The sequence below is a fragment of the Homo sapiens genome, chromosome 3 (assembly GCF_000001405.40).
Source record: "Homo sapiens chromosome 3, GRCh38.p14 Primary Assembly".
Lineage (NCBI taxonomy): Eukaryota > Metazoa > Chordata > Mammalia > Primates > Hominidae > Homo > Homo sapiens.
In genome coordinates, this window is record NC_000003.12 from 194,414,936 (window position 1) to 194,427,700 (window position 12,765).

The 12,765-nt window shown below is 36.8% G+C and overlaps 1 protein-coding gene across 22 annotated transcripts in view; it reads right to left on the reverse strand.

Annotated features, from left to right (window-relative positions):
- ATP13A3 (ATPase 13A3) overlaps positions 1–12,765 on the reverse strand; it is a 91,658-nt gene that overhangs the window by 12,259 nt on the left and 66,634 nt on the right. For all 22 annotated transcript variants that reach the window (NR_164667.1, NR_164666.1, XM_047448912.1 and 19 more), the window contains 3 exons: positions 12,140–12,317; positions 10,407–10,594; positions 4,944–5,032 (listed from right to left, as the gene is read on the reverse strand). Coding sequence is in view for 20 of the 22 variants with exons in the window: in XM_047448912.1 (XP_047304868.1) it covers positions 4,944–5,032; positions 10,407–10,594; positions 12,140–12,317 (455 nt within the window). In the remaining 2 variants the exon portion in view is untranslated. The remainder of the gene's footprint in view (positions 1–4,943; positions 5,033–10,406; positions 10,595–12,139; positions 12,318–12,765) is intronic.

Genomic DNA, 12,765 nt, shown 5'->3' on the forward strand with positions numbered 1-12,765 from the left:
TTTAACATATAGATGGTGATTACAGGTGAAGCCATGACTCTAGGGGATATCACCAGAATGTATTGAGTGACCAGAGGAATAAGAACAGAAATGTAAGGAACCCTAACATTTAAGGAATGGGCAGAGGGAGTGGAGCCAAAGTGGAAAATGAGACTGGAGAGTCAGAGCTAAGAAAAGGCCAAAAGACAGCAAAGCATCACAAAATTTCAGAAGAGAGTATCTTAAGAATGATGACATGGCTAACTCGTCAAATACTGCTGGGGAGTCAAGTAAGACTGGAAAAAAATACATTAGGGAGAAAAGTCCATTGGACTTAACAAGTAAGAGGCTAACGGCCTTGCTGAGGGCCGTTTCAGTAGATTGGCAGGGGAAGATGCCAGATTAGTTGACGAACGTGTGGGAGGTGAGCTGAATGTGGTACTATTTCAAGAAAAAGTTGGTTGTGAAACAGAAGACATGTGCACCAGGAGAGAAATATAATGCATTTTGTTTTCTTCTTTTACTGTAAGTGCTTATCTAAACCCCTCAATGAAATATGCAGGGAAACAGACATATACTGCTGGTAAGACTACAACCTGGAACATCTTCAAAGTTCAATAATGCAGAATTTATGAAAATTAAATTTATAGATACCCTCAGACCAAGCAATTCCACTTTTGCATATTTAGCCTATAAATATATATTTGTCTGTAACTGAAGTGTGCAAGGATTTACAATACCACATTCTTTTTTTTTTTTTTTTTTTTTTTTTTGAGACGGAGTCTCGCCCTGTCGCCCAGCCTGGAGTGCAGTGGTGTGATCTTGGCTCACTGCAAGCTCCGCCTCCCGGGTTCACACCATTCTCCTTACAATACCACATTGTTTCTAATAGCAAAACACTGGAACCAACCTAAATATCCAGCAAAACAGGACTAAACAAATTACTAAAAAGTCCCTGCAATGGAATACTCATTTCACAAACTTTGTAAGTTTAAGTTATATAACTTTAAGATCAAACCTGTCCGTAACATACAAGAAAAGAAAATTAAATCTGATCTCATTCATGCAGAGGCAAAAATCCAAAACAAAATCATAGCAACCTAAATCCAAATTTCAAAGAGTGTGCATCATGACCAAACTGAATTTATTCTAGAAATGCAAAGTTAGTTCAATATTTGAATACTGATCAGCTATAATTCATCACATTCTTCAGGGAGAAAAACTGTGTGACCATTTCAATAGCTGCAGAAAAAGCATTAGATTGGCTGGGCACAGTGGCTCACACCTGCAATCCCAGCACTTTGGGAGGCCACGGTGGGTGGATCGTGAGGTCAGGAGTTCGATACCAGTCTGGCCAGATGGTGAAATCCCATCTCTACTAAGAACACAAAAACTTAGCCAGGCATGGTGGCACACGCCTGTAATCCCAGCTACTTGGGAGGCTGAGGCAGGAGAATTGCTTGAACCCGGGAGGTGGAGGTTGCAGTGAGCCGAGATCATGCCACTGCACTCCAGCCTGGGCGACAGAGCGAGACTCCATCTCAAAAAAAAAAGCATTAGATAAAAATTTAAAACCACTTATGTTAACAACACTGTACAACTAAGGAAGCTTCCTTAACCTGATAAAGACTATACACTAGAAATATACAGCAAACAGTTTATCTAATGGTGAACTATTAGGAACACGTCCTTTAGAGACAAGAGTAAGACAAGGATATCACTATCACTATAACTAATATATTAAGACATGAAAAATACAGAAAAAGCACATAAAGACTGTGAAATGTCAGAAACAAACTGCTGGGGAGTCAAGTAAGTAATTACAGCTTGTAATTACTTATATATGATGCCTGTCTAAACAGAAAATCCTAGACAATCTAAAATGTGTCTGAATAAAGTCTGATAAGGCTTCTGGGAACAAGATGAATATCTAAAACAACTGTATTGAGTTCAACAACATAAAAAATTAGAAAATGTCATTTTAATTATAATTTATCAAGGGATCAAAAACTGTTATTACTCTAAGAATCTAACAAAAAATGTACAAAAACCATTAGGGAGAAAACTATCTGACTTACTGAAAGACATTAGGTCAAAAAGACAGAAACAGAACGAGATACTGTTTGTGGGAAGGAAAACTAATGAATTCACCCTCAAAATTTATTGATCAACTCTGTGTAATTCTAATAGTTCCGAAAGGGCTTTTCCTGGTATTTGACAAACTAAACTTAAAAGTTAAGAAGAAAAGCTTAGCTGGGCACAGTGGCTCACCAAGGCAGGGAGCTCACCCGAGGTCAAGAGTTCAAGACAAGCCTGGCCAACATGGTGAAAACCCATCTCTACTAAGAATAGAAAAAATTAGAGCCAGGCGTTGTGGCAGGTGCCAGCTACTCGTGAGGCCGAGGCAGGAGAATCGCTTGAATCCGAGAGACAAAGCTTGCAGTGGGCTGCACTCCAGCCTGGGTACCAGAGCCAGATTCTGACACACACACACACACACACACACACACACACACACACACACACACACAAAAGGAGGAAGAAGGAAAGCTCAAGCACAGCCAAAAAGGTCATGATGAACAACAATGTGAGAGGGGGGTAGGAGTCCTACCCAAGCATGTATCAAGGTTTCTTATAAAGTCATGGTAGCATGGACAATATAGTACTGGCACAAATAAAGAGAACTAAACAACAAAATATGGAGTCCCTAAAACACTATTAGTCATATATATGGAAAACTGTGGCCAGGCGCCATGGCTCATGCCTGTAATCTTAATACTTTCGGAGGCTGAGGCAGGAGGATCACTTGAGCCCAGGAGTTGGGGGTCAGACTGGGCAACACAGTGAAACCCCATTACAAACCCCATTTATAATTTTTATTACAAAAAATTTTAAAATTTGCTGGGTGTGGTGGTGCACAACTGTGGTCCCAGCTACTCAGGAGGCTGTGGTGGGAGGACCACTTGAGCCCAGGAGGTCGAGGCCACAGTGAGCTGAGATCATACCACTGCACTGCAGCGTGGGTGACAGACAGACGGACGGACGGAAGGAAGGAAGGAAGGAAGGAAGGAAGGGAGGGAGGGAGGGAGGGAGGAGAGGGGAGGCGGGGGAGGAAGGAAAGAAGGAATGAAGGAAGGAAGGAAGGAAACTGATATAAGACAAAGGTATCACTGAATATCAGTGGCAAAGACAAACTTCAATAAGCAATTGCTGAAACAAATGGGTATGCGTAAGAGAAAAAAAGAAAAAGAAATTTGATCCCTATTCAAAAGCTATACATAAAATTAATTCCAGATGGATTAAAGACTAAATGTGAGAGTATCTTTATAACTTTGAGATGGACAAGTCCGCCAAACTGAGACACGAGGAACAAATAAAGAAAGAAATTAATAAATTTGCCATGTCAGACTATAAGTTTGTTTTTTAAAAAGAGATATTATAAACAAAGTAAAAAGACAAGCCACAAACTGGGAGAAGATATTTATCACTATACAGTCAAATATAATACATTAAGAACTCTGAAAACTAAGTTTTAAAAAAAAGACAACATCCTAAAAATTTTTAAAAAAGACAACATCCTAGAAAAAATTGGCCAAAGGCATGAATAGGCAGTTCACAGAGAAAATAAAAATGGCCATTAAACACATGAAAAAATGCTCAACTCCATTAGTAAAGTTAATGAGCAAAGTAAAACCATCATGATATAACATTTTACACCCACTGGACAAGACCAAGTGTTGGCAATGATGTGAAACAACAGGATGTCAAACACTGATGGATGATTGATACAATCACTTTGGAAAACAACTTGGCACGTGGTAGCTGAAGAGTACATGCTCATCATGATACCAGAATACAGCAGAGGAAACTTTTGTCCCTAATGGTTTGCCAAGGGTAGTAGTGGAAGGAGTATATTACCACTGGAAGTGTCTGGAATTACCAGCACATGGCAATATTTAAAAAGCAGATGGACTTCTACTGGGCTTAATCACTGTTTGCAAATTCTCTACAGCATCGCACCACTCTCTCACTGCTTGTACCTGGGATAAACCACTCCTACTCCACTCTTTCATACACTATTACTTACCCCCATACACTGAAAGACATGTAAAAATATGTTCATAGCAGCAATATGTTCAGTAATTATTTACCAACAGAGGATGGAGAAATGAATTTAATATATTCCTACAATTGTATACTATACAGCAATGAAAATAAAATAATGTATCAACAAACAATGTTGATGGGAGAATGCAAGTCACAGAAAAAAGGGAACAAGATAACATTTTCATGAAGTTCAAGAGCACACAAAACTATCTTTTATGACTGCAAACATATATGGTAAGTATATAATGAAACAGGGAATGACAGGGAAAATCATCAAAACAGGTACATGAGAGTGCCTTATTGATTGGTAACGTTACCTTTTTTTTGTTTTCTTTTGTCACTGACTTGTGCTCAGGTAATGTTCATTTTTTCAGGTTGGATGATACACTCAGGGTGTTATCTCTTTACTATTTTTTAATTATGGCTAACAACTTAAATATGTGTGCATATTCTTTTGTATGAAAAACAAGTATTTCATTACTCAGAAAGTTTTTAATGAAAAGAATTGAAGAACTAAATGGCCAAAACACAAAAGGGAGCATGTGTAGACTACTCAAGAAGTAGACTGGTAGAGAAGAGAGGAGTAACAGGTACCAGGATCAACGTTTTTTTATGTTTTTAAAGACCAAGGGCTATTTAATTTGTTTGCAGACAAATGAAAACGGCACCAGAAGCAGAGATTAAACAGGTATAGCTAAGAAAAGCTGCTATTTTCATTAGGTTCTTTATTCTCTGTAGAGTATCTTTGGGTTAATATAACAGCATCTTAGAATACACAAAAAGAAGAGATCCTGGAAAAAAAGAAATGTATACAGGTTAGTCTTTTTCCCCAAACAAATGATGTGCTTAAGTCTTACCTGAAGAACCTGGTCAACAGAGGCAACTGGATACAACATGATGAATAATATAAAAATATATAAAAAAATCACAGAAAAAACAAAAAAATCTGGAAAAGACAGCAAAAGTAAAACAAGTAAATTAGGAAATTCCTTTATATAAAAAGGCATCCAATAACAGCTGGTATACTGTCATTTGTAAATTTGGTTTTGAATACTTTCACTTCAGTTGATGGAATAAAGTATGTGCTCTGTTATCTCCTGGAGTATGAGACATTGTTCGGGGCACCCAAAAGATTCACATACACAACGTGATGTTATGTTTAAACTCCATTAACTTTAACCGTGAAAGTCCTTCAGAAAATAATCAGCACTTAAAAAAATAAGACTCAGACCTTCACAGACATTTGTATGTCGCCCAAATGGATAGCTACTTTGTAAGATAATAAAGCCAATACATAATGCACAAATAAGAGACTAAACTATGTGTGGCAAAATGAGATTATCATTTAAAACATGTATTCAATGACAATTACTATTGACTGTAAAAATGCTGAATAACACTTATTTTCAGTATTGGGTATGTCTTAATCCTAAATAGAGGCATTCTAACCTAAATGTAAATGTATTTCTAGTAAGTGAATCCCATTTTTTCACTGATTTACACTGTGAAAATGTTTTCACAGAAAATCTTAGCCAAAAGCCAAGAGACTGAGTTGATCTACTATTTTTCAAAGTGGGCTGACCTTATGGCTTGCTATGGGAGCTGGGAATGGCAAATCCACCCAGCAGTACTTTGTCTCACTTTCCTAACTCAAAAACCAAACTGCTTGCTCATGGCCATTTTCTTAAGTGTGTACATCTACACATATACACACATGTATATAAGCATATACTTGTATAATAATAAGCCATAAAAGTGGCTCCAAAATTTTCTAATATATTGATAGCCCAAACTTTTTTCCCCTTTTCCTTTGATCTGGACATTTATTTACAACTTCCTATTTGAACTCCACTTCAAACTCAAACTTTACTAAGACCACATACAAAAACTTTATCATGAAGCCTCCAGACTGGGTAAAGAACTTACTTTTTACTGACTGTAAATGAAGGGTCTCAGTGCCATTTTTAAACGTGGATGTTATTTGTAAATATAAACTTTGTTAATATCAATTCAAAACTACAGGTAAATATTTATCATTCTACAGAAACTATACTATATTATTTTTATGTTTATATATACCAGTGTGTAGGGTGTATATATATATATATATATATAGTATATATATATATATATATATATATATATATAGTTTTAGTAGCTTAGGCTGAAACTTACACTAACACTTATACCAAAGGTGGAGACATATTTTTTACCATGAGCCACTGACCAAAAGGATTAAAAAAAATGTGGGGCTGGGCACGGTGGCTCACGCCTGTAATCCTAGCACTTTGGGAGGCCGAGGCGGGCGGATCACGAGGTCAGGATAACGAGACCATCCTGGCTAACACGGTGAAACCCTGTCTCTACTAAAAACACAAAAAATTAGCCAGGCGTGGTGGCGGGTGCCTGTAGTCCCAGCTTCTCGGGAGGCTGAGGCAGGAAAATAGTGTGAACACGGGAGGCGGAGCTGGCAGTGAACAGAGATCACGCCACTCCACTCTAGCCTGGGTGACAGAGCGAGACTCCATCTCAAAAAAAAAAAAAAAAAAAAGTGGGACTCATATTGGGTAAAAAGTAATTCTACTAAATTGTAAATAGGAAATGTGACATCCTGTTTCACAAATGCAGCAACTAAAGTATCATGTAAGTTCTATGGTCATTTAAGTAGTTATGGTCAGATAAGGAAAAAGTGTTTGGAAAGTGGTGGTTGGAAGTATATAAAAACAGAAAAGAAAAAAGACAAAATCAGAAAAAGGACAAAAAGCAATGGTCAGAACATAAATGGCAGAGAGAAACACGGAGACTAAAAAAGAAATTCAATGAAGTAATAAGCCATATTGCATGTTTTTCAAATCTGATTGCATTTTTCAAACCACAGCAAAAACAGATTTGCGACCTGGTTCTTGACATGTGTGTCGTTGGCAAAAAAAAAAAAAAAAAATTTACTCAAGCACAGAAGCTTCTTTACATCTACCTAAACAATGTTTGTTTCTCAAATTTTCATGTCTCTCCCAGAGCCACCTCTTGGATCCCACCTCTAAAAATCTGCCAAGATTTCCATGTGAGAGAGAAGATAAGTAACTGAATCTATCTTTGTTTAGCCTGGAGGAAAAAAAAAAGGCACTATCCAAAAAAGACACTAAGTGACAGGGGAGAGAAGGATGGCTGGCAGACATACAACCATACCAAATTTTAAAATCAGTAAGGATTTCAACCAAGAATAGAAGAATTAGGTATTCACTTTAGAGAGGTATGAATTTCTTGTAGACTATGCTCTCAGCTCCTAGATTCTCCTAGCATTATAAGCAATGGCTTAGTAATTGTACTAAAGTGTAAACATTCTTCACCAGAAGACAGCTATCAAAACAAACTGTGTGTCACTGGTGACTGCAGGCCAGGGTCAAGGGTGTTCCTTAAGATTTAGATTGTTTTAGATTGATTCTTCCACAAAGCTATGTGAATCTAAACAAGTCATTTACAGTCAAATTATTTTATCTATAAAATGGGGATATGATAAGGATTCTGTAGGAAATAAGAGATTTTTAAGTATTCAAAGTATATAGCAACATGTAAATTGAAGTTATTATGAAATATTTTTCAGCTTGTGGCAACATATGATGTGCTGTTCATGATACCAGATGCCACCGATGGACTATGGTATCAAAATAAGGTACCAGAAAGGATTTCCTTCATATTTTCCTTAGTGACTCCGAAATAAGGTAGACACACATACAATATTTACCCCAATATATATCTCTTTGTTCCTTCCCCAAACAATAACTAGTACTAACTAACCTACAGCCACAAATCCTAAGCCTTTTTATTCCTATCCCTCTCCCCTTATCCAGTTATGTCTTTAAAAGGTCACCTTATTCTGTAGGGCCTCTAGGTATCTGAATGGCTTCAACCAATTTAGGCATGCTAGATGAATAGGAAAAAGATACATAGGCCCTGAATAGGAAAGACCCTGGCAATTCAGTAGTAATGCCTTCATAGACAAAGGGATTAGATAGCACAAGCAATAAACTGTAGGGATGATCCAACAAGAAACTGCATTAAAAATTGAAGCCAAATCCCAAGAAATCATGTCTAGTTAAAGGAGAGTGTTAAGAATTAAGTGCATATCATGACCCTTGAAATGAAGGCAGCTGAATGAGAAAATGTAACTGTGAAGCTCAAGTTGAAAACAGGTAACCACACAGACTGAAGTTAAGTTTAATTTAGATTAAAAGTGAACCAGTACAAGAAAGCAAAAAACTCTAAAGAGAATTCCTTAAACGCCTAAGGCTGAGATTAATTCTTAAAAATCATAACTTCAAAATACTTTTAATATATTACACACCATTTATAGAGAGCAACAACTGGCAGGTCCTAGCAAAGGACCCTGCATGGACTCCAGTGACAAACAGACAAGAGGTGAAAACTAACAGACAGGTCCTAGAAAGGACTCTGCATGGATCCAGTGACACACAGACAAGAGGTGAAAACTGGCAGAATGCCTGCATCAACTGCACTGCTCCTTTCGTACTTTTCAGAAGGCATGCTTTACAACAGCAAGTGCTTCTGTTTACCCACTGAGAGAAGTACACAAGCTGCTGACAGTAACGGCAATCGAGTTTTATGGTTATATTTCTGCTAAATATAATCTTAGTACATTTTTAAATCATCCAGTGGCCAAAAATAGTGTTTATTATTTATTCTAGTAAATTGGAAATTAAACGAGAAAACAAAATTTCTTAAACCTTTTTTAATAAGTTTTCCAAACATATAGAAGATGCATCTTTAGAAACAGGCAACTAATATTCTCCCTTTCTCTTTTTTAATTCTAACAGTGTGGATAGGGTAGATCTCTAAAATTAACTTTCTTGATAGAGCTGTCTTGCTTGCAAACCAGTCTGAATACCAGTTTTCTTCAAATTAAAAAAAAAAAAGCAATGTTTTTTCCTAGATGTTTTCAGCTACCCTTACATGTGTTCAACATTTCCTTGAAATTTAAAAATGTTGAATAAAATGTATACCAATGCTAATGATTAAATGCACCTTATAATAAGTTATCTGTAGTAAAAAATCCTTTTAGAAATACCGTGGCAAACCTTCCATGGAAGGTTTTTCATCCTGTAGCATGGTTCTAATACAGTTCTTAGTAACATAGTTATTAGTATGGTTATACAGCAATACACAACTAATAAATAATATAGTTATTTTTAAAATAATAGTTATTTTTTAAAGTTCTTAGTAACACAGTTATTAGTATAGTTATATAGCAATATATAACAATAAATAAGTAATAATATAGTTATTTTTAAAATAAGAAACATCAGTTCCAAAAAGGGGGCAAAAAAAAGGAAAAATTACCAGTGAGATCAGATTGTAATCTTACCTGCACAAAATATAAAGTAATAAAACTTGCCCTACAAACCAACAGGGTAGAAGTGACAAATAAGATAATGTATGAGAAAATGCCTTATAAATGCTAATATGAGACAGAGACACTAATAGTTGTGATTCCTATGACATACCGATACCTGTGACCTGCCAACTAGAACACTGCCACCTAGTCATAACTACAGCAAAAGAATAATTGCTATTTGCTCCAAGATACTGCAGAAGTCTAAAAGTTGTTCCATATATTAGTGTATTCTCAATTTTTTTTAATTGGCAATTTATATGTAGTAACTGATTTTTTTCCATAAACTCTAATTTTGATCAATCAAAATGGTATATTCTATTGCCATAGACAAGTCCACAAGGGCACAGGCCTCCATTCAGTATACTGGCCCTTTCTGCAATAGCATGCAAAGATACTAGAAATGAAGAATCCCAGAGGTGAACACAGGCCACACCAGCGTCGGAAATGAAGAAGATGGCAGATGCTGCGCAGACCGCCCGGGAGGAAAGTATAATACCTACTGTTCCAACTGAGGAACCTCTGTCTCCGCTTCCATTCCTAACTCCCTCCGCAGTGGGCTGAGGAACCTCCGTCTCCGCCCCCGATCCTAACTCACCCAACAGTGGGCTGAGGAACCTCCGTCTCCACTTCCCATCCTAACTCCCTCCACAATGGGTTGCAGAAATAAAAGCTGGAGCCAGAGGCACTATGATGTGAAAAACAACAGTGCTTAACACTGGTAGCTTGAACTTTAAACTTAGGGTGGCAACTACCAATGAAAGTAAAACAAAACGGTAAACATCTAAATCACTAAGTTGATTCTATCTGTGAAGATCTGGTTTACTGTGGCAAAGACAGTTATAATTATTCTCTTCTACATTAGTTTTAAAGGGGCAAGCAGGGTGGAAATCACAATAAATGCCAAACTTACAATTTTTGTAGCAAGGTTGCCTGAAGGGTTTTCCTTTTGAAAAGGCAATTGCCACTATGAGGTACTGAAAACTGGAAATAAAAAACACTGTGGTATTTTCATAATTTTGTATATTATGTTCATCAAGTTCGGTTTCATTGTCTACGTGTGAAGAATTCCAAAACCCGCTTCCTGTTGTATTACAAGCACTAGAACACATGCAAAAAATGTCTGCATTAGTAAACATAATACTCATTTCCCAAAAGAAACCAATCTTACCTTAATTGCCCTGAATCACTATCATAACAAATAGAAATATGATATTTACAGCAAAAGGTCCAACAATATCAATATAAGATATATAAAACAGGTACAAGAGTATGAAGGGTTTTCTCTTCAGTCCGACATCTCAACCACTTAAAAAATTAGAATCAAGTAGGAAATATTTAATAAGCCCCCCTCAGTTTTTTTAATTTTGGGAGTAATTTTAGCAGAGTGAAAACAGAGACAATGGGCTTGACCCAAGCACTATCACTTTTCAGTGCTAACTGAGGAAATATTATTCACTCTCCCTGAGCCTACCTCCTCGCTGGTTAAATGTTGGTACCTACATCACAAGTTGACTCATGCAAATGCCTAGCGAGTCCCCGGTGCTGAGATGTCCCTCAATATTCTCCAGCTATGGCTGTCCCTCATTTCTACTTTCAGGTAGGCAGGACCATCAGGCACAGAAACAGCTAACGATGAGAAGTCCCCAACAATCATTACTAAAGCATGAATTATAAACACAGGTAAGTGCTCACGAAACGTGATTAACAGACTATGCTGCAAGTGAACTATGGGAAGATTCTCAAGAAAATTCCACCTCTTTTTTTTTTGCATGTGCAGTGTTTCTACGCACATATAAAAAAAGTAATGTTAAATCTCCTACAATCTTCTAAAAATTTTAAAGATAATATCCCTCAGTCAAGCAAACTAGAAATAAATGTTTACATCTGAAAATTTAATTCTACAAAATTAACACGTTTAATTAATTAAAATGTTATAATTTGTGATCCGTAAAGCACTCTACACTCTACGAAAAGCAAATGCACCTAATTTATTTTTCCCCTTAAGTTTTAAAATGCCATTTCCTAAACTGGGGGATGAAAGATTAGAAATACAAAACACTCTGGGTTTAGAAGAGGCCCCAGAGATTAATTCCAACTTTCTTATTTTACAGATAAGTAAGGCTCAGTAACAAATTAAGAAACTGATCTAAGATCCCCATTTTGGTAGGATTATTAGGATTTTGCCTGAACATCTTCCCAAAGACAGGCGTGACCGTGATATACAGGCAAATACAAGCCAAATTATGTAAGTGTTTAAAGCAGCCTGCATGCAAACTTTGTCTCAAAAAACAATCTCTTGGCTCACTGCAACCTCTGCCTCCCAGGTTCAAGTGATTCTCCTGCCTCAAGCCTCCCAAGTTGCTGGGATTACAGAAAGGCACCACCATGCCCGGCTAATTTTTGTATTTTTAGTAGAGACGGGGATTCACCATGTTAACCAGGCTGGTCTCGAACTCCTGGTCTCAAGTCATCAAACTCCTGGTCTCAAGTGATCTACCTGCCTCGGCCTCCCCAAAGTACTAGGACTACAGGTGTGAGCCACCGCACCTGGCACAAACTTTTATATTAACTTCTAAACTCATTTTTATATCATATATGTTGCACATATTTTATATAGATTTTTACATAGATTGACCAACTTACTCTGATTTTGGATGCCACACTTCATACCAAGGTTGCTGTTTGACCCAAAAAAAACCCAAAGATTGAAATCCAATGCAGATGATAATCTGAGACAAAACGGAGAAGAGAAGGGCCCCAGATATAAGACCCGAAGGTGGTCTTTGTGCCACAAGTTCTTTCCAGGCAGGATTTAAACTCACTATATTGAAAAGAAAAAGAGGAAAGGTTTGTATTTACATTAATCTATCACTATATAAGGCATAACTAGATTCATTTAGGAACTTTAAAAATTTGTTTTTGCCTAACAATTCTTTAATACAAAAAATCTTCAAAAACCAAGCCACATATCGTACATATTTAAATAATCTGTAAAAGTAAACAGTGTAGGCTTTTTGAAAAACGCCTCAGGAATAATTTTTACATTTCTATTGAAATTCAGCAGTAATATTAACAAATAAAACTAGGCCAGGCACGGTGGCTCACACTTGGAATCCCAGCAATTTGGGAGGCCACAGTGGGAGAATCACTTGAGCCCAGAAGTTTGAGACCAGCATGGGCAACATAGTGAAACCCCATCTCTACAATAAATAAATAAATAAATAAATAAATAAATAAATAAATAAATAAATAATTTTAAATTAAAAAAT